The sequence below is a fragment of the Homo sapiens genome, chromosome 18 (assembly GCF_000001405.40).
Source record: "Homo sapiens chromosome 18, GRCh38.p14 Primary Assembly".
NCBI lineage: Eukaryota > Metazoa > Chordata > Mammalia > Primates > Hominidae > Homo > Homo sapiens.
In genome coordinates this window covers 35,028,365-35,054,047 of record NC_000018.10, presented here as the reverse complement: position 1 = coordinate 35,054,047, position 25,683 = coordinate 35,028,365, and the positions used below count along the sequence as shown (strand labels likewise).

The 25,683-nt window shown below is 40.0% G+C and overlaps 1 protein-coding gene across 5 annotated transcripts in view, besides 2 other annotated features; it reads right to left on the bottom strand.

The window, feature by feature from the left end:
• MAPRE2 (microtubule associated protein RP/EB family member 2) overlaps nt 1–25,683 on the bottom strand; it is a 166,444-nt gene that overhangs the window by 89,423 nt on the left and 51,338 nt on the right. For 2 of the 5 annotated variants that reach the window (NM_014268.4, NM_001256420.2), the window contains exon 1: nt 12,387–12,635. The exons of 2 other annotated variants lie outside the window; for them this stretch is intronic. In NM_014268.4, the coding sequence (NP_055083.1) occupies nt 12,387–12,508 (122 nt within the window). In that variant the 5' untranslated portion in view covers nt 12,509–12,635. Of the gene's footprint in view, nt 1–12,281; nt 12,636–25,683 lie in introns of those variants that run through there. One more of the 5 variants, NR_046177.2, reaches the window with a different exon arrangement.
• Nucleotides 3,172–3,672: an enhancer, noted in NCBI's record as "H3K4me1 hESC enhancer chr18:32630340-32630840 (GRCh37/hg19 assembly coordinates)". NCBI's record gives its function as "activates a minimal SCP1, AML or CMV promoter by ChIP-STARR-seq in naive H9 embryonic stem cells {active_cell/tissue: H9 hESC(naive)}" and the evidence as "EXISTENCE:reporter gene assay evidence [ECO:0000049][PMID:30033119]".
• Nucleotides 12,526–12,675: an enhancer, noted in NCBI's record as "active region_13218". NCBI's record gives its function as "activates an Ori minimal core promoter by ATAC-STARR-seq in GM12878 lymphoblastoid cells {active_cell/tissue: GM12878}" and the evidence as "EXISTENCE:reporter gene assay evidence [ECO:0000049][PMID:35858748]".

Genomic DNA, 25,683 nt, shown 5'->3' with positions numbered 1-25,683 from the left:
GCATCCAACGCTTTGGCTATTCTTGGCAAAATTTTGGAAGCATGCAAATGGCTCCTTGTTACATTTATTTTTCCTCCCTCTTTTCATTTACTTAGTTTTTAAAATGTTTACTTTAGGTTTGGGGGTACATGTGAAGGTTTGTTATATAGGTAAACTCATGTCATGGGGGTTTGCTGTACAGATTATTTCATCACCCAGGTATTAAGCCCAGTAACCATTAGTTATTTTTTCTGCTCCTCTCTCTCCTTCTACCTTCCCCTCTCAAGTAGACCCCAATGCCTGTTGTTCTCTTCTTTGTGTTCATTAGTTCTCATCATTTAGCTGCCACTTGTGAGAACATATGGTATCCTTGTTACAATTAAAGAAAAAAAATTTTCTATGCACACTTTCCTCTTAAATTTAATAGTGGAATCTAGCAAGAAGGGGACACACAATACAAAGAAAAGAATGTCTTAATTATAGGGTTCTTCTCCACAGAACTAGAAGAGCATCTCCTATCTACCAAGACTACCTCCCAAATGTAACATGTTCATATAAAACTTCTAAGGTAGATTCAGTGTTTTTTTTTTCTCAGCTAAAATAATTATTCTGTTACTATTTTACCCTCTATTTACATATTAAATACTGTTTTTTTATTTTTATTTTATTTTTTATGAGATGGAGTCTCGCTCTGTTGCCTAGCCTGGAGTGCAGTGGCGTGATCTTGGCTCACTGCAACCTTCACCTCCTGGGTTCAAGTGATTCTCCTGCCTCAGCCTCACAGGTAGCTGGGATTACAGGCAAGTGCCACCACTCCCAGCTATTTTTTGTATTTTTAGTAGAGATGGGGTTTCACCATGTTGGCCAGGCTGATCTCAAACTCCTGACCTCAAGTGATCCACCCACCTCAGCCTCCCAAAGTGCTGGGATTACAGGCATGAGCCACAGTGCCCGGGCTAAATAGACTCATTTAATATGTACTTACTGAGGATGGACCATGTAACTAATTGCTGTAAAAGTCATTGTGAACAAAGACTAGGTCTTTTTGTGTGTGTGTGTGGGGGGGACTTTATATTCAAGTTAAGAATATAAGACCTGTACATATTAAAATACAATTCAAGACTATATTATTATGCAAAACATATGTGTATAATTCTATTTAAAAAGATAACCTATTTTTTTAAATGGAAAAAGATTTGAACACTTTACTACAGAAGACACACAAATGGCCAATATGCACATGAAAACATACCCATCATTAGTCATCATGAAAATAGAAATTAAAATCTCAATGAGATACCATTCTACATCCATAAGGATGGCCAACATTTAAGAGACTGATAGTAAGTGTTGCCAAGGATGTGAAACAATCAGAACTCTCATACTGTGCTGCTAGGAATGTAAAATGGTACAACCATTTTGGACAACTGTTTGCCAAACAGTTTCTCAAAAAGTTAAACACCAGCCATATGACCCAATCACTCCACTCCTAAGTATTTTCCCCAGAGAAATGAAAACACCTCCACAAAGACTTGTATAACAATATTCATAGAAACTTGCTTCATAATTCCTAAAAACTGGAAACATAAATGTTCATCAACTGGTGAGCAGATAAACAAAATATGGTATAGCCATACAATGAAATACTACTCAGCAATAAAGAGTGATGAACTACTGAGACATCCCATATGGATGAATCTTAAAATCATTGTGCTGAGTCAAAGTAGTCAGACACTAATGAGTGCATTCTCTGTGATCCCATTTATATAAAATGTAATCTAATCTGTGGTGACAGAAAGCAGATCACTGGCTCCTGGGGCTTTGGGCAGAGAAGATTTGGACTGCAAAGGGTACAAGGAGTCTTTTGGGGGTGATGGAAATGTTCTGCATCTTGACTGTGGTGATGGCTTCAGGGTGGACACACTGCCAAAACTCTGACTCAGACACTTTAAATGGCTGCAGTTTACTGTACATAAATTCTTAATAAAGTTGATGAGGGGGAAAAAAGACTGTAGTATAATTTGTTTGACTTTTTTCCAGGTTCAATTTGAACTTTTAATGAACATCTGCTATGTGCAAAGTATTGTACAGGGTACTTAGAACAAAAAGATTATAGATTTTTATCAATACAGGGTAAAAGAGTAGATTTAAGCTGCAAGCAATAATACTAGCTAACATTCTTTGAGGCATTTACTTTGCACCAGGCACCGTTTGGCACACCTTATGTTCTGTAACACATTTAATCTGCATAAGAACCCTGGGAAGTTGATGCTACTATTATTTCCATATGCACGGTAAGAAAATGAGGCTTAGAGAGGCTAAAAAAATGTTGCCCTAGAAAGGGATGGAGCTGGGACAGAAAGTAAAAGTCTCACACCAGAGCCAAGCTTTGCCCACTATACCTCACTGCCTCTTCAAGCAACTTCCTGGCTGTGCACTTTGAGGACCCCAACTGGTCCTCCTGGAGGTTAGGAAAGGAGGTAGGGGACAATCCAGGTTCCCTTTTCGGTACAGACCAAATTTTGAACTGGAGTAGAGGTAGCAGTGACACACTTATCATACAGGCTGGAAATAGGTACATGCTGACATCTTAAAGTCATTGTTATGACAATGCTATCTGCCTGTCAAAAATTTCAGGGGGAAAGAAATTGGCTTCCCAAACCCAAACTTATCAATTTGGCTTCCCAAATTGGCTTCCCAAACTCAAACTTAACAATTTACTGTGTATTCCAGGCCCCATTAAGGGACTTGGGAGAGACTTGTTGGTCCTGTTTCCCTTCTCCTGCCAGACCCCTGCCTAGGCTAACACAGAGCTCTTCATTTTCTTCTGTCCTTGGAGAACAAGTGTCGAAGGGAAGGTTTACTCTGCCCTTGAAAAGACAGGGAGAGAGATGGGGTGGGGGTAGGGAGGCAGAGAACTAAACTCTCTCTAGAGGCTGGCATGTTCACCCCAAGAAACCCTCACTGTCCTCCATGCTGCACTCACTTCCCATTACACTCCATCTCCCAATGATCCTGTCTTCTGCTTCCTCCTTTTCTAGCAGACATTCAGCTCGTAAGTTCCACAAGCTTTTTTATTTCAGAGTTGCTGACAGTGAGCAGGTCCCTATACTGAGGATAATATATTCAAAGCTTTGTTCTTGTTTTTTTCTTAATTGGTCAGTCTCCCTGGGGGTTCTCTCAGTTTTCACCCAGACTCCTGGGTGAGAGGGCTGAAACAGAAATGCATGGTGAATGCAGATGGCTTGTTTCCTGGCCGTCATCACACACAGGGGTCACATGAAGGCCAGATATTGCCCAATTAAGTTCCCTAAGGTGGGAGGTTAGGCTGAGTTGGAGGAGGACAGAGGACTGCACTCAGAGTGGCCAAAAAATTGGCAATTACCTGCAATCTCAGTTTTAGGGCCCTTTGCTGTACTTGATAAATGGCAGGAGCTTGATAAATGAGAAGAAAACAAAAATGCAAAGAGGATATTTTAAAATAATCCTCACAGAGTATTATTTTGCAGTTAGTGTAAGATTCACAGAGCATACTAAACAGGCTGGACGCATCACAAAACACACAGGCAGCTTCAATGTACTCTGGAGAAAATGAAACAAAATCTCCACTATGGATTGCTATGTGTGAAACCTCAAAGGGCTAAATGAGGCAGATGCTATAGGAGCACATTTCATTTGTGACTACTGATGTTTAATGTAAGAATGGTACTTGCATTAGGCAAATCTTTACTGTCATCCATGTGACTTTGGTAAGTTCATGAGTATCTATCAGATGTTTCCTAACATATTTCAACATGTAAACCTCATTAAGTTCAAACTGAAACTTATTTAATTTTAAAAACCTATGCTATTAAAGGGCTAATTGAAACATCACTGATTGATGAGGTAATGCATTTAGTTTCAGTTTAGAAAAAAAAAACATAAAAAGGTACACAGTGATTAATCTTCCCAGTTCTTACCATTATTAGTTTATATCCTTTCAGTTTCTCTATGAATAAAGTATGAATATATGATCTCATTTTCACTTTTTATGTAATAGCATACTGAAATATTTTTAACCTAGTGATGACCAATACAAATATAAAAATTGGAAGAGCAAAACAGATAAATAAGCCTTTTACTTTTCCTCGACTTTTTGAAAAGCAGAAATGAACTTCCTGCCACAAAAATCACTCAACAATGCCCAAGCTTGTGCCTCAAGGCTATGTTCGTAAGACAAATATAGAGGTCATAGTAGGGTACACACACATTTTTACTTACACGCTACATTTCTGAAAGCTTTTGAAAATTATAGGAGTGATAATTTTGCCCTTCCCAAGTATCAACACAATAATCACAAAATTACTTTTATTCAGACAAGTATCAGGAAGACTTCTGAACCAATGACAGCCACACCTCAGCAAAAAACAAAACACACACCCTGTGTATACTCTGGGGTCAGGTGTGGGAACCTCTCCATCTCACATCCCTCCCACCACGTACTCTCGCCCACTGTCCAGGCCCCTGGAGGTTCTTATCAAGGGAGGGCTGTGCAATATTTATCTTTGTATTCCAAGGGCCCAGCATGGAGGAAGGTTGGCACATTAAAGGAACTCGGTAAGTCTGCTGAAAGAAGGATTTTTGGCTTAAACTTTAATGTAACAATAATTGTGTAAAACCCAAGAGTGGGGATTTTAAAAATGACATTATTAGAACCTGAAAACACTTTCTGGCACTCCAAAATGATAAAAAGGAAGTAGATGGCGTGAGGGAGTGGGGGAAGGAGCTCACTTAGCTTCACTTTCTCCTGACTTGCACAGCACCAAATGAAGACCTCTCAGGGAATCACAGAGGGCCCTTCAATCAGGGATACCACTGTTTATAATCAAAGTATAGCTGTGAACATAAGAAAGCCTCCCAGAGATGTTTTTTGACAAATTACCTGGCGTTTTTGACAAATTACCTCCCAGGGCTTTGCCAGGGTAGGCTGACACTAAATAAAGAACAAAAAATTAATGTCTTTAAAGCAAAACAAAACAAAAACAAGTATTACTTCTATGAAAAATGAAATAGGATCACAGAAATCTAAAGTGTGTCTCACATCAACAGCACCATCTTTTTAGTCATACGCAACAACAAACATTGGCCATAAACTTCAGGATCGATTTTGCACACAATTAAAATGTGAATTTCTATAAAAATTTGTATTTTCTTCTGTATAAATTTTTATGGATAGCCAAAATGCCTTTAGGAAGTATAATCTTAGAAAGTATAATTATATATACATATATATGTGTTATATATAGTATTAACACATACTATATATGCCCAGTTCTCACCATTGTGTTATAGTATTAACACATATACTATATATACACTATATATAATAGTATATATAGTATAGTGTACGTATAGTATTAATACATATACTATAAACACATATACACATATAGTATATGTGTTAATACTATAAATACTATGTGTATATAGTATACATACACACATATATAATACATATATGTTACTACTATATATGTGTGAATATAGTATATGTAGTATATGTGTTAATACTATATGTAACACATATATAATTATACTTTCTAAAAGTATATATGTATGTGTATATATACTTTCTATAGTGTACATATGTATAAATACACACACACACACATATATAGTATATGTGTTAATACTATATAAATATATGATATAGTTTGGATGTTGTCCCCTCTAAATCTTGTGTTGAATTAAAATCCCCAGTGTTGGAGGTGGGGCCTGGTAGGAGGTGTTTGGGTCATGGGGTCGGGTCCCTCATAGCTCGATGCTGTCCTCATGACACTGAGTGACTTCTCACATGAGCTGGTTGCCTAAAAGTGTGTGGCACCTCCCCCTCCACTCCCTCTCTCTTGCTTCTGCTCTGGCCATGAGACATGCCTGCTCCCGCTTCGCCTTCCACCATGAGTGAAAGCTCCCTGAGGCCTCCCCAGAAGCTGAGCAGATGCTGGTGCCAGCTTCCTATACAGCCTGCAGAACTGTAAGCCAATTAAACCTCTTGCCATGTTGTCTTTCTGTTCCAAAGTCATTGCTAAAATCAGATTCTTCCAGCATGGTCATTTTACCTGCTGGAACAAAGAGAGGCCTAGAAATCACAGAAAGTTTGAGTTTTTGCCATATTTTCTTAACTAGATAAGCATTAGAGGACACCATCACTCAAAGCTGTCAACTTGATCATTTCATGTATTTATCACAAACTTCTGCTCCCTTAGAAAAGACAGTAATTCTTTAAGAAACTCTGTCCTGGTTCAAGTGAGTAAAATCTTAATTCACTTGGGGAGATTTGACACTGAAAACACAGTGTTTTTTTTTTTTTTTTAAGTAACCTACTAAGAAATTATTTATTGGTGGCCTATAAAACTCTGTTCAGTCTTTACCTTGCTAATGATTTATTTTCATTAAAGTAAATGATCATCTTTGGGGAGGCATTTTATAAAAACATATTTAGGAGAAATTTCTTTGATTTATGCTATAAGGTAAATGTTGCATAATTTCTTGCCTATGTGAATTGTAGGTTTCCACTTTGAGAGAATTCTCTCAATCTAATAATAAAGACCAAGGGCCAGAAACACTAAGATAAACAATCGGAATTTTAAAATGAGCTAAGAAACAAGGTTTGTATGATACCAATGGGATGTGTGTGGAGTGTTAGAAAGAAAAAGGGCTGTTGGAATAGTGCTTCAGATATTGGCTAAGTTTGACATACTCAATGTAGTATTACAGAGGCAGCTAGCTGAAAGATGGCCTGAAGTCAGGAAGAATAAAACTGTTCTTAGATATATATTCTAACTTAATTCACTGTAGAAAAAAGATACTTCTCACAGGAGAGAAGAAAATCAATTTGTCCTTTAAAGTGAAATTGACTAAAATAAGAAGTAAACACACACACACTATTTAGGGTAAACTCCATCCACTCTGGAGTCTGCCACCAAGGTGATAACCTTCTAACTGTCAGAGGAATTGGCCCCAAAGTCACAGGGAGTGTCCTGAGCAGTTTCATCAGCCACATCGGAACTTTTTACATCATTAAATGCCAAGGGAAGATGCTTCATAATGAACCAGAAACCTGGTTCATTGTTTGGGAAGATCAGAATAGTGGCAGCTCTCCACACTTGCCACTCCTAAAAGTTAGACTGATAGCTATGAAGTGGGCATCTGCAAATATAAAAGCCACTGTCTGGGCTAAGTACCAGTCTCATTATGGAACAAAGCTGCATTCATTGCTTCTACTCAAGGAAAGACATCCTGAGCCAGAGAACATCTACCTAGTCCTGATCTCTGCACATTAGAGGGCTCAAGCTCTCGCATGGCATTAAGTATTTTCTAGTGATTCTAGACCCACACAGTGGTGCATTGGGATCCCGTTTTCCTTTTAGCTCTCATTTCAAAACTGAAGATCCACTGCAGTAGGCATCTGTTTTCATTACACTATCTTCAGTCAATAAACTTTCAGTAGCTTCTTATTTCCAAGTTCCAACTACCCCGCCTGCTTTTCAATGCTTTTATTTTCTACCACTGCCCAACACACCTGGCCAGGCCAGTGAAAATTCTGCCTGATCCTAAAGCCTACATTCTTTTCAGCAAAATTTCTGGTTTCTCTCAGTGTCTTTTAGCTTCCTACAGCACACTGGACTTCAGAGAAACTTTTTTTCCCCCTTTGGGTCACTGGGGGTTCAGGAAATGCAAACCACTTTCGCTATCAGACTAAGCAAAATACCAACACTGTAAGTCTTTTACAAAATGAGCGGTTTTCCATCGGACTTTACTAGGACTCAAGATCCTTCAAGGGGCATCTAGCACAGACCTTGGCCAGAGCAGACTTTCAAATATTTGTAAAATTAATTAATTCTCTAAACCAAACAGAATATTTAAATTAGTCCCAAATTTCCCCTTCCAATTAATCTAGAATTATTCACTGCAGCTTCAAGAGGTCCCTGTAAATAAAGAAAAGATGCTGCATAAGGAAATCAACCTTCTGAATTCCAGAGGACAATCTCACAGCACTGCTCTAAGATAATGCACTGTCAACAGATACCAGCTACAGAGCAGGAGTGAGCCTCTCCCCAAAGCAAGAGCACCCGGAAGACCATTCCATTAACAGAAGCTCTGAAAATCCGTAAAAGAAGTTCCAGAGTTGGGCATGTACTAAAGCATCAAGTAATCTTCTGATTTTTACAAACACTAAGAAAAATAGTAAGGACAAAAATCTTTATTTTTGGAAAACCTCCTTTGACAGTATTAAACCTAGATGATACTAACAAATACATAATAAAGACATGAACGTAGACTTTTGCAATCTATAACTGCTGTTTTGGGGAATGTGATGTGAAGCCTATGTTCTGATAAAAGTGAGCCATGTTACAATAGCCTCTATTGAATGGAACACACTTTCACAACTCTTTTATACACACACGTGCACAAAAAAACACACACACATGCACAATATTACGATATTTCTCTTTGTTTTCCTTAACAACAGCATGTTTTTTAAAACTGGCAAAGCTGGATGTTATGGCCAATGCTTTAGGCTTAAATTTTAGTTTTGCTTTTCTCTGCAATCCATTTCCTGGGGCCAAGTAATTTTTTTTTTTAAAGTATTCAGAAACATGTGCTACTGTAGTCGCATGCTCAAAACACCCATGTGGAAATAGTCCTCTAGACTTATACATTCATTCTTAAAAGCCTGGAGTATACAAACAAAGATGCAGTGGGCAGAGAGCCAGTTAATAAATCTCATTTCCAACTAGCATCTGCATGAAACAGAGCTATGGGGAGCATCCTCTCCAGGGAGATCCAGAGCACGACTCATTCGCTCTGTGAATTAAACAGTGTCACCTCGGATGGCCCACACCACATTTATTTTTTAAGCAGGTCTTAAAATACATAGATTTCTAGCATTCATAAACACAGTGAGGAAGCTGAGGCTGAGAAGGAAATCACACAGGAGTGAAAACATGTCTCTATGAGTCTGCTAAGCCATTTTTGTACTTACTCTTTTCAATTGGAATTACTAATCCAGGGGTAATTTTCTAAAGGAAGCTTGCTTTTCTAATCAAGGTGCAAGCTAGTTTCAATAATGAGCTGCCACCCACTCTGTTCCATGCTGTGAAAATGGGCTTTGTTTACACTATCAGATACCTGGGTTAAGAGATGTGGGTCAGGAACCAAATTTGACATACTTATGAACAATATGGTGCAAATGCTATAACAGTAATGTCTCCTTCTCCAAAGAGTGACTGCTTGCCCATTAACAATGCTCAGGAGAGCCACCCTATCCTCTAGGTGTTCCCTCCTCTTCTCACCTGTGCTGCCAGCAAGGTGAGACATGTTCTTGTCCAAGAGCCCCTGCAAGAGCCCTTTTTCAGTAACAACAGTATTCTTATGTTACATAGCTCTTTTAGGAAATTACTTGGTTTAAATATGGAGTTTAGCCTCACAATATCTCTCTAACAACGGGGGCTAGATATTTTTATATACAACAGGCAAAGGTAGAAAATAAAGCCTAAGGCTGGGTGCAGTGGGGCACGCCTGTAATCCCAGCACTTTGGGAGGCCAAGGCAGGTGGATCACTTGAGGCCAGGAGTTACAGACCAGCCTGACCAACATGGTGAAACCCCATCTCTACTAAAAATACAAAATTAGCTGGGCGTGGTGGCGCATGCCTGTAATCCCAGCTACTCGTGAGGCTGAGGCAGGAGAATCTCTTGAACCCGGGAGGCGGAGGTTGCAGTGAGCAGAGATTGCGCCATTACATGCCAGCCTGGGCAACAAGAGCAAAATTCTGTCGCAAAAAAAGAAAAGAAAAGAAAGCCTAAGATAAAGACCTGTTCGGGGGCCTACCTAGAAGTCAATAAAGGATCCAGGGAAAGAATTCCCTCTGATCTTGCCAGGGAACTGGGCTCACTCAACCCCAACCCCACCATAAGGGACTCCACCCAGAACTTCCAGGCACATCTTCATTGTTGAGGGCCATACCAAACCTATAGCCAAGGCAAAACTTTTATTTGGTTAAATCTCTACTCTTCGCTTTCAAATTGCCTTCCAAGTTTCCTCAGCAATTAAATGGCTATAATATTCCAGTCTTGGGATGCCAAAATAATGATGGAATGCTTCCTGGATAGAAAAATGTGTCACATTTTTCCTTTTCCTATGCCCCTCCAAAAAAATAAGTGGTAATTATTACACTGGACATCCACTTTGAAAGAAAAACAGAAGAAGAAAAACATCGAATGTGTCTGTCTCCATGTGCACCCTTTGTATAACACAAGACAAATGCAATTTGAGAGGCTTCCTTCTTCATTTAGCCTATGACACCTCTCGCTATATCATCCAGTAATCCTATTATATCAAATACAAATGCAGTGATGCTCTTAGGGACTTAAGAATTTGTTCAGTAAGATCTTTATTAAAATTCAGTTTTGTTTTTTACATAATTTTGAATGCCATTATAGGGACTCAGAAAGCAAACTGCAAATAATTTAGGAAACGCAAATAATAGCCTGGGTTGAATTAAAGAGGTAAATAAAATTTCATTTTAAAGCAATAATCTGTCACCAAAACGTAACATTTAACCTTTCTGTCAAATGATTTTCCACTGCCGTTTCAAGTTAGTTTACATGAGTAATAAAACCCAACCAGGCAACTTCCTTTGGCCCGTGGGGTAAAATTCGAATTCTGTCTTAAAAGCAACTGCTACCTACACAGCAGGGATTAAATCATTTAGAAAATGAAGGCTTCAAATTTATTTTCTACAAAAAAAGTTCAAACTAGTGAGATTTAAAATCACTTCAAGTTTTTTGTTTTTAAATTCTATTTTTAGGCTTTGGGATGGTCACAGAGGAAAAAGGTGGAGGAGTAAGAGGAGAAGAGGCCCAAATTTCCAATCACAGGGTCTCTGAAAGGATATCTCCAGAAGTTGTGGAGGAATTTTGATTTACATTAAGTGAATAACAAGCACTTGAAATCTGTAAGAATGCCATATCAACACATTAGTTGGAACCATAAGGCATGAGATTTTGGTGACCTCATGGGCACAGCCAAAATTAACTCCAAGTATTTATGTAACTGCCAGAGATGACAGGGCAAAGGTTGCTTATAATTTTTTTTTTTTTGAGTCAACAAATACTGCATTTCTTTGGCCAAAGAGAAAGGAAGTAGGGTACTTTCTGGTTCTATTTTGTGATATGCAACATTTACACACACAATATTCTACCCATAATACCATCTGAATGTTTAGATGACGGCTCTAAAAAGGAAAAAAAGAGTTATTTCCTGTTGCTCATCAGCTGAGAGGATGCGCTTTAGAGGTATGTGTGCTCTGCCTCAAAGCAAAAGCATTGTTAGCGTTTATCAAGGTAACATTTAAAAATAACTACCCCAGTACAAAAGAACTTCAGAGGAAATATGACCGAAGCTATCAGTCTCCCTTCAAGTCTGGCCTTGAGCTGCATAAGACTCTAGCTGCATTCTCCATTACATTGTTATCCTTATCAAACAATGCAAACAATTTTAATGAGCTTATCTACTGGAACATATTGCCAGATATGTTAATGTAAAAATGATGCCAACCGTACAGGCCAACTCATTAATCAAAAGGCTCACAATACAATGACCAAGATCAGTCCCATCCTCAAAACAGACCTCAGCAAAAGACCAGGAATCACCTTCCTACTGTAAATAAGAAGGAAAGGCTCCCCCACCCAAGCGGTGGCCATAAACTCCTTAGAAAATGCATAACAGCGCCCAGTTTTTTTCAAGTCCTTTGCAGTCCAGTCTCTTTCTAATAAACCTAGGGTTCTATGGAGAAAATTTTGGTGAATGTCTGACACTATCACCTCTGCTGTCAATCCCTGCACCAATCAGCGAGCAGAATTCTTACAAAGCTCCATCAATCTGGCGGTTTAACATCACAGACTGCAGCTTAATCTAGAGGATTCCATCTTTCCTGCACACTCTCCAGGTTAAGCGCAAACGTTTTTCTCCCCACCCTCCCGTTTTCTGCCTTTTGGCACTGCTACCTAATGGCTCCTTTAAAATCTAAAAGGGAAGGAGGAAAGGAAGTGCTACTGCCTGTCTCCCTTTGGACAGCGGGGGAAAACAGCATGCATTTTTATCAGTGTGGAAGGAAAGAGATGGAGGGAGACCCCTCGAAGGCAGCAAACCTATTCACAAAATGCTTTCCATCTGCAGTCGCGGAGCCTCAATGCAAACCCAACATGACACATGGAAACAGATACCAAATAATCACAACCGCCTTCACAAATGCATGCCTGCAGCAGGGGTCGCAGGCAGTGTCTGCTCCATTATATAACGGGCTGGATTTCCGCGCGCCCTCACGGCGGTCCCCGGCGCTGCTCTCGTGCCAGCCCCATTACCTGTAGGAACGCTCCCCGCGCACTGTGTGCTTCCGGAAAGGAATGATGGTCCCGTTATTATCCTGGATGATGTCGTTGTTGTTCTCGCCATTTGGGGACAGGGTTTGGGTCGGCCCAGGCATTGGCGCACTCCCGAGAAGGGGAACAAACCGCTGTGGGCTGGCTGGTGAGGAAGGTGGCTGCGTCTTCCCGCTCGCTCGCCTGCTCCGCACGGACCGTGCCTGCCGCCTGCTCGCTCACTGCCTTCTCCCAGCTCTCGCTCGCGCCCCGCCCTCCTGCGGCCCCGCCCTCTGGCAGCTGACGTCAGAGCGCCGGCAGCAGCACCCTGGTCACGTGGCCAGCCTGTTGCCATGGCAACCCGCTAACTCATCACCTCGCCTCAATTCGCACAGGGTCGCGGCGTGACCACGCCAGCAGCTCCAGGCAGGCACCGGGGCAGGCCTACATCTGGCATGTAAAACCCCAGGCCACCCTGCAGCCCCCCTCGCAGACTCGCCTTGTCTGAAAACCAGCTCTTCCTCTAACCATTTCCTTTCCGACCCGTGCTGCCACTGCAGCTGTGTACACAAAAGAACGATTCATGCAAAGGGGTGTGGGAGACCCTTTAACTCCTTCAATACCAAGTTTTTATGCCATGACAATTAAACTTGGTCAGGTTTCAGAAAAACCTAAAAAGGACCTGGTGGCCAGCTTGTAGAAAAGGTATCAGACTAAGGTTAAAATTTCTGCCTTTCTCCCTTTCTCCAAATAGCAGCAACCATCTCCCCAAAAACAAGCCAAAAAGCTAAAAACCTACAAGGAAGCTGTATTTCCTTCTAATCAATGTAGCCTTTAATAATGTGAGGATTAAAGATGGCAAATTAAGAGATCATCTGTACAAAGGAATCCCCAAAGAGGGTTTTTCTTTTAAAAAAAGATAACCACCATTTTACCAGTTACCCAAAACCCTCCAATTCAAATTCTTTATGCTGCCTCCTGATACAGATCATTAATTCATTGACATTTATTCTATTTCCATTTGAATTACAAAAGTGATCACCTCACTTAGTATTTGAAAGTGCTTAACATTCAAGCTGTTCTATATCCTTGCAATACCGCTTTCAAATATATTGGCTATGTGACAGATACTATTATTATTCCCATTTTAAAGATGAGTAAACTAGTAAGATTAAGTAAACTGCTTAAGGTCACACAGCTAGGAGTGGTGAACTGGAGCTTCCAAGTGACATGGTTTTATCAATGTGACTGGACAGTAATGATCTGTAATGTGAGCTCAATAAATATTATAAATCAAGGTAAGAATCAAGTACTTCCAAGATGACTGTTGTGAAAAGATAACTGTGAACAGAATTGCTAGCACTGTGCAGTCTACGGATTAGATTATAAACTGAAAAGACCCTGCATATGTTCAGTACTGTCCTCCAGAGAGGAGAGATTTTTTTTTTATTATTATTTTTTAGAGGCAGAGTCTCGCTCTGTCACCCAGGCTGGAGTGCAGTGGCGCAATCTCAGCTCACTGCAACCTCCGCCTCCTGGGTTCTAGTAATTCTCCTGCCTCAGCCTCCTGAGTAGGTGGGATAACAGGCGCACGCCGCCACACCCAGCTAATTTTTGTATTTTAGTAGAGACAGGGTTTCACCGAGTTGCTCAGGCTGGTCTTGAACTCCTGAGCTCAGGCAGTCCACCCGCCCCAAAGTGCTAGGATTACAGGCATGAGCCACCACGCCCAGCCAGGAGAGATTTTGAAGGATTCTTTGCTTATCAGCAGTGGTCTCTGACCTTTTATAGGGTGAAAAGGGAAGAATTGGGGTGTAAAAGATACAGCATAAATATATGTGTCATAAAGTATTAAGCTATGACTCACTCCTTCACATCACTGTATGGTTTATCAGCTTTATCATTTTGTGATACAGATATTAAAAACAAGTAAACACTTTGTCATTCCTGACAATTCTTCAGCATATGTCCCTGGTAATAAGTTATTTCTGGTATCAAGTTTCTGGAATTAGAATCAAATGTTTTACAACCCAGATGGTAAGGATAATCTCAAACAAGGGGCCCTACTTATTTTCCTTCCTATTTTATACTTTCCTCTTGGGCTATTATTTTAATAATTTTATCTTTTGCTTCTCCAGTTAGTCCACAGTGCACAAGTTGATTCCTTCGTCCACATCTCACTTTACATAAGATTTTTTTTCTTATACAATCAGATCCAATTCTGACCTAAGACTTACAAGGTACACAGATGAATATCTAAGTATCAAAGATACACACCAAGCTTCACATTGCACTATGAGCTAAAGGGGCATGAGAGTGTAGTCATTCTTGCAAAGACCCATGCTTCCTCTTACTGTTTCTGTTACTTGACCTGCTGCTGTCAATTTCCTTACTAATTTGCTTCCTTTCACAAAACTTCCCCTTTTTGGGGGGACAGTCTGAAATTGAAAGGCACAGTCTACAAATCAAATATTTAATGTCCTCAGAGTATGTTCTCAATCTGGGTTCTTTAGTACAGATCACTTTTCCATGATCCCATATTTAAGTAGTATGTAAAACATAATTTGTGTCATTGTGGGGACTAAATTTGTCAGAATTTGAATGCATAGTTCATTGATCATACCAACTAATTTTGTGGAGAGAACACACCCACTTTGTTTCTAGTCTGCTCATGAAGGAAGGGATGGGATGATGGCCAAGAATTTGGGCTGATGGTCTAAAAAGGGAGGGGCTGTGAGTCAGGTGAAGGGCCCCAAGGGCCGCGTAAATCTTCCTCTAAGACTGCTCTGAGCCACACTACTATAAAGGGACCCACAGAACTCCAGAGACCAGTGATTACCCTCTGAGATGCAGGGGTAACAGGGGTAATAATTTGAAAATATTAAACAGATGTGTTTTCATTCCTCTCCTCATAAATCAGGTTACCTGGAAGCCATTTTCCAGCTGAGCCCTAGGGAAAAGGGAGGGCAAATTCCACTTTGGGAAGCGGAATGGTACGATGTAGGAAAAGTACAGAAAATTCAGGAAGGATGAGGGAAGAATTCACTCTTTCCAGCCCCAAGTGAGGGTAGAAAGAATGGATGAAGGCAGAGCAAGGAAGGGCCTCCCAGCTTCAGGTCTCCAGGCTCAAATCCCAGAAGGGAGACATTGGATAGGCTGAAGGCAAAGCCTAAACCTAAGGGACTTCCTTTTGCATCATTTCCCATTTGATACTCTAGGAAACCACTGCCATAAAGAGGGTCTCCCCAACACCAAGCAAGGTGTAGCTTCATCACAGTAAAGACTAAAATCAGTAGCTTAGTATGGTTAAGGAGAGGGTTGGCTTAAATTTCACTCTCAGACTCTTCTTTTGCTAGCATGCCATGTAGAAGATATCTAGAAGTTTCTGTCCGTCCTGTAAGGGGATAATCAGGAAGTGGAGGAGATGTTGCTATCAGAGGGCTGAGTTTGTGATGGTGGTGGTGGTAGAGGGTGTCAGGAGGGAGTGTCTTTACAGCAGAGGTGAAGTGATATTTAAGTGGGTCCACAGGATGGAACATTTAAGGCAGAGCCCAAATAGGAGAAATAGCTAGCTCTGAGGAATCTACACAGGGGCAAGGGCCACATCTGTAGAGAGAGAGATACTACAGCTGTAGGGGTCAGCATAGACCACCAGCAGAGTGCCCATGGATGAGATCAGACCAGTGACTCCTCAGCAGACTCAGATATTACAAGCCCAAGAACCAGCATGAGACCAGGAGGCCCCTACTCTCCCAACCCTGTTGTGCTCCTATAAGCCCCACTCACATATTCCTACAGACACCATCTTGCAGAGGGGCTGGGGAAAGGAAAGATATATAGAGATCGAATAGTCACCCAAGAGATGAAGCCATCCATCCAAAGATGGTCTAAAATGGAAGAGGCTGTAATACTGTGAACTAGCAAGTTTAAGACTATTTCCGGTTCCCCACTACCCAGCAGGGTAGGGAGAATTACCCAGGTCATCCTAAGGGAAAAAAAAAATAAGCTAAAATGTGTTTGTACGTATGACTGTGGATTTAGGTTTTGTCTTATGTACACAGGCATATCTAAAATAAAGCATGTGCTGGCATATCTAAAATAAAGCATGTGCTGACCATTGCCCTTCACCTCCAACTGCCTATTGGAAAATAACTCCTGTCACCAAGCATCAGCATTAAAGAGGGGGCCTGGGGCCTGGGATTGACTTCACCAGATGCAGGTTCTATGACCTTGGCAAGTTACTTTGTATCTCTAACATTTAGTTTCCTCATCGATAAAGTAGGGTAATAATGCTGGTTTCTCCATAGTGCTGCTGTGGAGATGGAGATTAAATTATATAATGTATTTAAAGCACTTAACCCAGTGGCTATACAGCAAATGCTCTTTAGTGGTAAATGTAATTTTTAAGTAACATGTTAGGCATATCCTAAAACATTCATTCATCCATTTGAAACTTAAAACTGGCTTCCTTGTATACTAGGAGCTGGTAAAAAAAAAAAAGCCTCAGGCTTTCACTTCAAGGAACTCTCAGTGTTGTAGGTGAGCAAGGGTAAAAATAATTGTCAATTATGATTACAACACAAGTGCTACAGCAATGGTGCAACATAGGGTGGGATGGGACCATCGAAGGTGAGCACCTAAGTCAGAATGGAAACTTGGAAGTAGGTCCGAAAAGTACACCTAAAATCTTGGATGAGTAATAATAATAGTAACCTTTTTCTTTATAGTTCATTTTCTATGCACCAGACAGAATGTGAGACCCCTTAGAGCAAGGGCTTCAGGAGTTTTGTTCACCGCTCTATCTGCAGTTCCTAGAACAGGACCTGGCAGATAGTAGGCACTCAATGAATATATAATCAATTCATTTATTCAACAAATATCATTTGATTTGATTCTCACAACAACCCTAATGAGAAAACATTAAGCTCAAAGAGAAGCAACTCATTCAGGATTGGATATTAGGTTTTCTTAGCCCAAAAGTTCACATGCTTATCCATTAGGCTATATTGTCATTTAAAAGAGGAATGGCAGTGTAGAGGGAAGATAAAGGGCTTTTCATGCAACTATTCCTACATACAGAGGTAGGGAAGGTTATAACATCTCTCGGAAACAGCAGGCTGTTTAGTATGGACGGCAAACACAGTGGTAGGAGATGGGGCAAGGATGAAGGTGCAGAAAGGTCTTATGGCCAAGCTAAGGAGCTTGATCTTAATTCTGAAGGTGACCTGGAACCACAAAGTGCCATAGGAAGGGAAATTTACGGTGACACTTGCACCATAACAAAAAAGTCTGATGTTGACAGTAGTATGGTGGATATACTGAAGAAGCAGTTTAGGTCTTCATCACTCTTTGACTTATTTTGAAGACCTAAACTAAACAGAGGCAAGGGGTCGTAAAATTCATGGGGTATAACTCAGGATTTGGTGACTAATTGGATGTGGATGCAATCGTCGGTGGGAGTTAAGAGTGGGTAATGAAGGAGGAAGAGACATCTCAAATGAATCCCAAGTGTATGGCTTGAGTGGCCAAGTAGATAATAGTACCATTTATCAAGCTAAGGAATACAGATTAAATTGTTCTTTTGCGATAAAGTTTCTCATAATGTGTTTTGGACATAGAGAAGTACCTCTAGAACATGCTAGTGGTAAATACTAGCATGTAGTATGGGTGTTCACTAAGTATTTGTTGAATAAGGGAATATATAGGTCTTAATGTGATGAGGTGTGTTTGACTTGGAGACACATATTATTTGGAGGAAGTTACGTAACAGGTGGTCATTACAGCTGTGAGCGCTCTCATTCAGGGGGAAAGAGAAGACCCGAGATGAAACTCTTTAAAGGCTGATGATAAAAGAGAAACCTGCAAAAAGAGACTGTGAAGGGTTTTACCTAGTAGGGCAAATCACAGGAAGGAGTGATTTCAGTGGGCCCATAGGAGAAGCAGGTCTCACAAAGGAGGGAGAGGTCTCTAAGGTCAAATGTCACAGAGAGTATGAATCAGATAAGGAAAGAGATATGTTTACTAGATTTGATAAGATGTTCTTAAAGATATTTTTAAGAGGCTGGGTTTCAGGTCAGACACATCAATAACTACTGAAGAAAATAATGAAATCTTTTAACAGGTAGGAGGCACTGCAATTTTTTTTTATTTTTATTATACTTTAAGTTTTAGGGTACATGTGCACAATGTGCAGGTTAGTTACATATGTATACATGTGTCATGCTGGTGTGCTGCACCCATTAACTCGTCATTTAGCATTAGGTATATCTCCTAATGCTATCCCTCCCCTCTCCCCCCACCCCACAACCGTCCCCAGAGTGTGATGTTCCCCCTCCTTTGTCCATGTGTTCTCATTGTTCAATTCCCACCTACGAGTGAGAACATGCGGTGTTTGGTTTTTTGTCCTTGCAATAGTTTACTGAGAATGATGATTTCCAATTTCATCCATGTCCCTACAAAGGACATGAGCTCATCATTTTTTATGGCTGCATAGTATTCCATGGTGTATATGTGCCACATTTTCTTAATCCAGTCTATCATTGTTGGACATTTGGGTTGGTTCCAAGTCTTTGCTATAGTGAATAGTGCCGCAATAAACATACGTGTGCATGTGTCTTTATAGCAGCATGATTTATAGTCCTTTGGGTATATACCCAGTAATGGGATGGCTGGGTCAAATGGTATTTCTAGTTCTAGATCCCTGAGGAATCACCACACTGACTTCCACAATGGTTGAACTAGTTTACAGTCCCACCAACAGGGTAAAAGTGTTCCTATTTCTCCACATCCTCTCCAGCACCTGTTGTTTCCTGACTTTTTAATGATTGCCATTCTAACTGGCGTGAGATGGTATCTCATTGTGGTTTTGATTTGCATTTCTGTGATGGCCAGTGATGGTGAGCATTTTTTCATGTGCCTTTTGGCTGCATAAATGTCTTCTTTTGAGAAGTGTCTGTTCATGTCCTTTGCCCACTTTTTGATGGGGTTGTTTGTTTTTTTCTTGTAAATTTGTTTGAGTTCATTGTAGATTCTGGATATTAGCCCTTTGTCAGATGAATAGGTTGCGAAAATTTTCTCCCATTTTGTAGGTTGCCTGTTCACTCTGATGCTAGTTTCTTTTGCTGTGCAGAAGCTCTTTAGTTTAATTAGATTCCATTTGTCAATTTTGGCTTTTGTTGCCATTGCTTTTGGTGTTTTAGACATGAAGTCCTTGCCCATGCCTATGTCCTGAATGGTAATGCCTAGGTTTTCTTCTAGGGTTTTTATGGTTTCTAACGTTTAAGTCTTTAATCCATCTTGAATTAATTTTTGTATAAGGTGTAAGGAAGGGATCCAGTTTCAGCTTTCTACATAGGATGGCTAGCCAGTTTTCCCAGCACCATTTATTAAATAGGGTATCCTTTCCCCATTGCTTGTTTTTCTCAGGGTTGTCAAAGATCAGATAGTTGTAGATATGTGGCGTTATTTCTGAGGGCTCTGTTCTGTTCCATTGATCTATATCTCTGTTTTGGTACCAGTACCATGCTGTTTTGGTTACTGTAGCCTTGTAGTATAGTTTGAAGTCAGGTAGCATGATGCCTCCAGCTTTGTTCTTTTGCTTAGGATTGACTTGGTGATGTGGGCTCTTTTTTGGTTCCATATGAACTTTAAAGTAGTTTTTTCCAATTCTGTGAAGAAAGTCATTGGTAGCTTGATGGGGATGGCATTGAATCTGTAAATTACCTTGGGCAGTATGGCCATTTTCACGATATTGATTCTTCCTACCCATGAGCATGGAATGTTCTTCCATTTGTTTGTATCCTCTTTTATTTCCTTGAGCAGTGGTTTGTAGTTCTCCTTGAAGAGGTCCTTCACATCCCTTGTAAGTTGGATTCCTAGGTATTTTATTCTCTTTGAAGCAATTGTGAATGGGAGTTCACTCATAATTTGGCTCTCTGTTTGTCTGTTATTAGTGTATAAGAATGCTTGTGATTTTTGTACATTGATTTTGTATCCTGAGACTTTGCTGAAGTTGCTTATCAGCTTAAGGAGATTTTGGGCTGAGACAATGGGGTTTTCTAGATATACAATCATGTCATCTGCAAACAGGGACAATTTGACTTCCTCTTTTCCTAATTTGAATACCCTTTATTTCCTTCTCCTGCCTAATTGCCCTGGCCAGAACTTCCAACACTATGTTGAATAGGAGTGGTGAGAGAGGGCATCCCTGTCTTGTGCCAGTTTTCAAAGGGAATGCTTCCAGTTTTTGCCCATTCAGTATGATATTGGCTGTGGGTTTGTCATAGATAGCTCTTATTATTTTGAGATACGTCCCATCAATACCTAATTTATTGAGAGTTTTTAGCATGAAGGTTGTTGAATTTTGTCAAAGGCCTTTTCTGCATCTGTTGAGATAATCATGTGGTTTTTGTCTTTGGTTCTGTTTATATGCTAGATTACATTTATTGATTTGCGTATATTGAACCAGCCTTGCATCCCAGGAATGAAGCCCACTTGATCATGGTGGATAAGCTTTTTGATGTGCTGCTGGATTCAGTTTGCCAGTATTTTATTGAGGATTTTTGCATCAATGTTCATCAAGGATATTGGTCTAAAATTCTCTTTTTTGGTGACCACTGCAATTTTTCATAAAAACATGAATTTTATGACTGAAGCAAGATATTCCAGGAAGAGATATACTAAATCAAGGGTGTATCTAACGTATCTGCAACTAATGGGAATCAGCAACTATCTGTACTAAAAAGCTCCCAGCAATACAGGAAGGATATGTTAATTAATGACCAACTGTTAGGCATCAGATGAATTGATCCTACTTTCAGGCCCCTCTTGAGGTCTAGATCCACCAAAAATAAAAAACAAACAAACAAACAAACAAATGTTTAAAGTGCCTGTTTGGAGAGCTGGATTTCTAAAATGGACCCAGAGGATACAGAGCTGGAAGCATGAGAACAGGGAGCCAAAAATAAACAAAAAAACAAAACAAAAAAAAACCCAGGAAGAGGTCCCAGCACACAGGTGCAATTGAGGAAGACTGAACCCTGGCATTAACTCGAATTTTAATTTCGAGTCCCTAGCTTATAGCACAATCATGTTTCTCTTAGAACTTAGGCCAGAGAGTACAAATAATTCTGTATTGACAGAAATCATCATCCCTCCACTTCTCCAACACATATGGTTCATCTAGAACAGGGATTTTTGCATTGCCTTGGACTTGAGAAATTCTCAACTATGATAGCAGAGAAGACATGAATTCCCTAGCCAGGAATGAATGTTAATCTTGACTCAATCCCAGAAACACCTACTCATCACATGAATGCCTTTTTTCAGGTTAAAAATGTGTTCACTGAAGCTGATAATCACTGCTGTCAAAGGCATTCACAGCTGTCACATCACCTTAGATCGGGGCTTCCTTAGATCATTATCACCTCAAATACAGACAGAAGATTCCACTTAGCAGTCACCTCTGCTGGCTCAGGACAAGCCATTTCCCCCATGTGTATATTTTAAGATATTTTCCAGTAGGGAATGGCAGGTACAGTAGTTATCAATGGCTGAAATATATGCTCCACACCCAAAATGATAGCAGTGAAAAAGTATATGGTTGGCCAGCCAGTGGTACCGGCACTGAAATTGCACTGGTGGCACAGAAATGTATTTGAGATTGGTTCTTCCTCACTACCTTTCACCCAGAGGCATAGGAAGATTTTATTAGTTCTTCTGGATCTGGTGAAATTTCCATGACATGCAAATACCTCCTGGCCTTAAGTAATAGCATTTTATTTTAAAAAAAATTGGTGAATAATGTTTTCCTCCAGATGAAGAAAGCCTCTTCAAAACCAACATGCACAGGTATGCTCCTCTAGAATTGACTTTTGAGATTACTTGTCTTTGCAGATTATTTATGCTCAAAAGGCAGAATTTTTAAGTCTCATACTTGCTAGCAAAATAGCAAGGTGTCCATGATGTGAAAACACAGAACATGCCATTGCATGAGACAAGATTTCTCTCTGTGTTGGAATTTATTTCTAATCTGCTTTTTCTTAGATTTTCTCAAGCTTGGATTTAATTTTGTAGAATAACTCATAGAACATGATGTGAATGCAATTTAAAAATACTCAGAGCATTATGATTTCTGTAATCATTCAATCAAATCTGTACAATGTGAGGTTTCAGTCTATTAAACAAAAATGTACTTTTGAATTATACCATCTGGCTAAATTTAAGAGCTTTAAATGTGTTTTCCATAAAAATACAATGTGATAAAAGTTATAATGAAAAGTGTATTAAGTATTAGGAATATAGAAAAGAAAGTAGTCAGGCCTGGGGACACTAGAAAAGCTTCATTAAGATAGTAATATTTTAATTAGTCCTCAATCATTCATTCTACAAATATTTATTGAGAACTTACTATGTGCTAGGAACAATTCTAGACATCAGAGATGCAGAAATTTGTAGACAAAATTCCCTGAACTTACACTTGAGTGTATGAGCAAGTGTATGTGGTAGGGTCAGGAGACAGACAATATATAAGTAAAATATGTAGTGTGTCAGATGGTGGCAAATGCTATAGAGACAACTAAAGCAAGGAAGGAGGACTTGGACTGCAGAGGAAGGGTGTTGTAATTTTAAATGGGGTGACCAGGGTAGACATTCCTGAAAAGATAATCTTTAATCGATGACCTGAGAGAGGTGAGGGACATAGACCTGTGATATCAGAAGAATATTTCAGGTAGAGCCAACAGAAAGTGCAAAGGCCCTGAGGTAGGAGCATGATTTGTTCAAGAAACATTAAGGAAGTCAGGTCACATGTATGTAGCACAGTGAGTGTGAATGTGTGCGTATTGTGGGGATGGGAGAGATAACTGTAGAAGATAAGGTCAGAAAGATCACAGAGAAACCAGAATGTGCAGGGCTTTTAAAGTCTGTTGTAAAGAACTTGGCTTAAAACCAAAGTTAGAAACCAGGCATTTGCAGGAGTGTTAGTAGTGGCAACAGAGATGTGGAATATTCTCTAATCACATTAATAGCAACACCTAATATTTGAATACTTTTTATGGGCCAAGTGCTATGCTTAACAATGAGGAGGTACTTTATTCTCACAAGAAAGGGGGCTATTCTAAGTCCCAATTGTCACAGGAGGTAACTAGTTCAATAACTTAGCCAAATAACCAGACAGGAAGTGGCAGAGCTGAGCACAAACACACTTGCCAGATGTCAAACATGTCATTCTTTTTCCCTAGCTCAGTCTACCTTCCACTAAGGTCTGATTAACCTGGAAGGAAGAATGCAGAATCCAGGGTGGGGAGTGGCAGGGATGAGATAGCTGATGGTTGCAGAGGCAAGAGACTGCTGCCATAAAACGGCACTTCCGTGTAGGAAGCAAGGAAATAAAAACATACAAGGGCTGAGAGACAGAGAGAATAAAAAGGACCCAGGGATGGGAGGCTGTACAGGATAGCAGTATCCATGAGGGTGAGAGATTGAAAGAAATGGAGGGAGAGGAGCTGTAAATTATGGTTAAGAAAAAGGGAGGGGGAAGGAGGAAGAAATGCTAGGATTTGGTGTTAGCAGTATATGTGATTGATAGAGAAAAAAATAATTTTCTTGTCCTTATATAGTGATTAGCTATTTTATTTCTCAGTAAGCGTCAGCTAGCAATGTCCATTTCTTTGATACCTTCTGGAGGGAAAGGAAACTGCAGGCATTTTTTTGGTATTTGTATTCAAAGCTACAATCTGCTTTCATTTTCACTATGCCAAGACTGTTATAATTCAACCATCCAGATACAGACATGTCTATTTGAGTGCTCTCGTTAAAACGTGTCTATGTCCAATTTTATGAAATTCCTCTATTTCCTTTCTCTATTTTATTTCCATCTTAAAATAAAATGCATCTTGTTGAAGTGACTGCATAGGACAGCTAAAAGGGATTAAAAGGCACCTTGGGCTCAGTTGGGTGGCAAGAGAAATGAAGAGACTCCAAGTACTGCTAACAAATAAATTATCTTGCAGACGATTCAGAAGCTTCCCAGAGAAGATTTCCTTAGGGTTCTTAAAAATCAACTAACTCACTGGGCTTTATTTCTGACTTTGATATTAAAGAGTGCAAGCTGAGTGGCAACTCCTTAATATACATACAAAGGAAGTCAGGAGAAAGTGGGGCAATGGTCATTCCATCAGGTACCAGGGACTTCCAGAGTTCCAGAGCTACTCAGAACCCAGGCCATCAAGTGGCAACCAGGGACATTGGAAGGAAGCGTCTTCCTGAGCCTGGAACTTCTCTGTCAAGTCTGGTGTGTACCATGGCAGAGCTATGGCTTCTGGATGGCTCCTCGACAGCGTGTCAAGGGAACATGAGGCCGGCAGCTGGAAAGCAGTGTGAGTAATGGAAGAGAAATTCCTCATTTTCTGACCTCATCCAAATAAAATTTTTAAAAAGAAAATTAAAGCAGCTTATTTCATTAGGAAAAAAAATGCAACTGGAAATCATGAAGTAAGACTAAGTTTCCCATCAGAAATGTTTTAATTAGAGCTTATGTTTTGTTTCCTCAAGTGCTTAGACACCAAGCATCTTCCTATTCTCAATTCACATTGACTCAACATGTACAGAAAGTAGAAATGAAGGGTCCAACTGCATAGTGTAGCACATGAAAACATAATGGGCCTCCTTTAAGAAGCCTCCATTTAACTTCTACATAAAGGAATCAGCCCCCTAGGAAAACCAGAGGTCTTAGTCTTAATATGTGAGACATAATGAGTTAATAGTTAGCTGATAGATCTAGAATCAATGCTTGGAATGAACTTCTCTACACAGCCTGTCTTCACGCCATTCCCACCAGCCCACAATTCCAGTCTCACTGGGACAGATCCTATCTGCCTTCAATGATGCAATGAAATCATGAATGAGAAATAATGGCTTGCAGTATAAAGAGCATGCACAGTGAACATTATTTTGTTTGCTCCTCCCTCTTTCGGGAAATTATTTCTTCAATCCTTGTGGTTGTAGCAGAGCTTGCCAAATATAATTATTCCATCCTCCAGACCCTGAGGATTGATGCAGAGATAGGCCTATGACCCAAATCAGGTCATTTAGAATAGTTCTCTAGGTTTTTCTAAAATTAGAGCTGTAATGTGTATGTGTTTGGGGGGTTGGGGGATGTTATCTTCCTTATAAAAGTTAGTACTGGGGAATTAAGAAAATATAGTATACATTATATATTTACTATATTTTGCATAGAAGAATAGCAAAATTCAGAGTTCATGGTTTTGATGCATATGCTTTGGATTTGAATCCAAGTGCT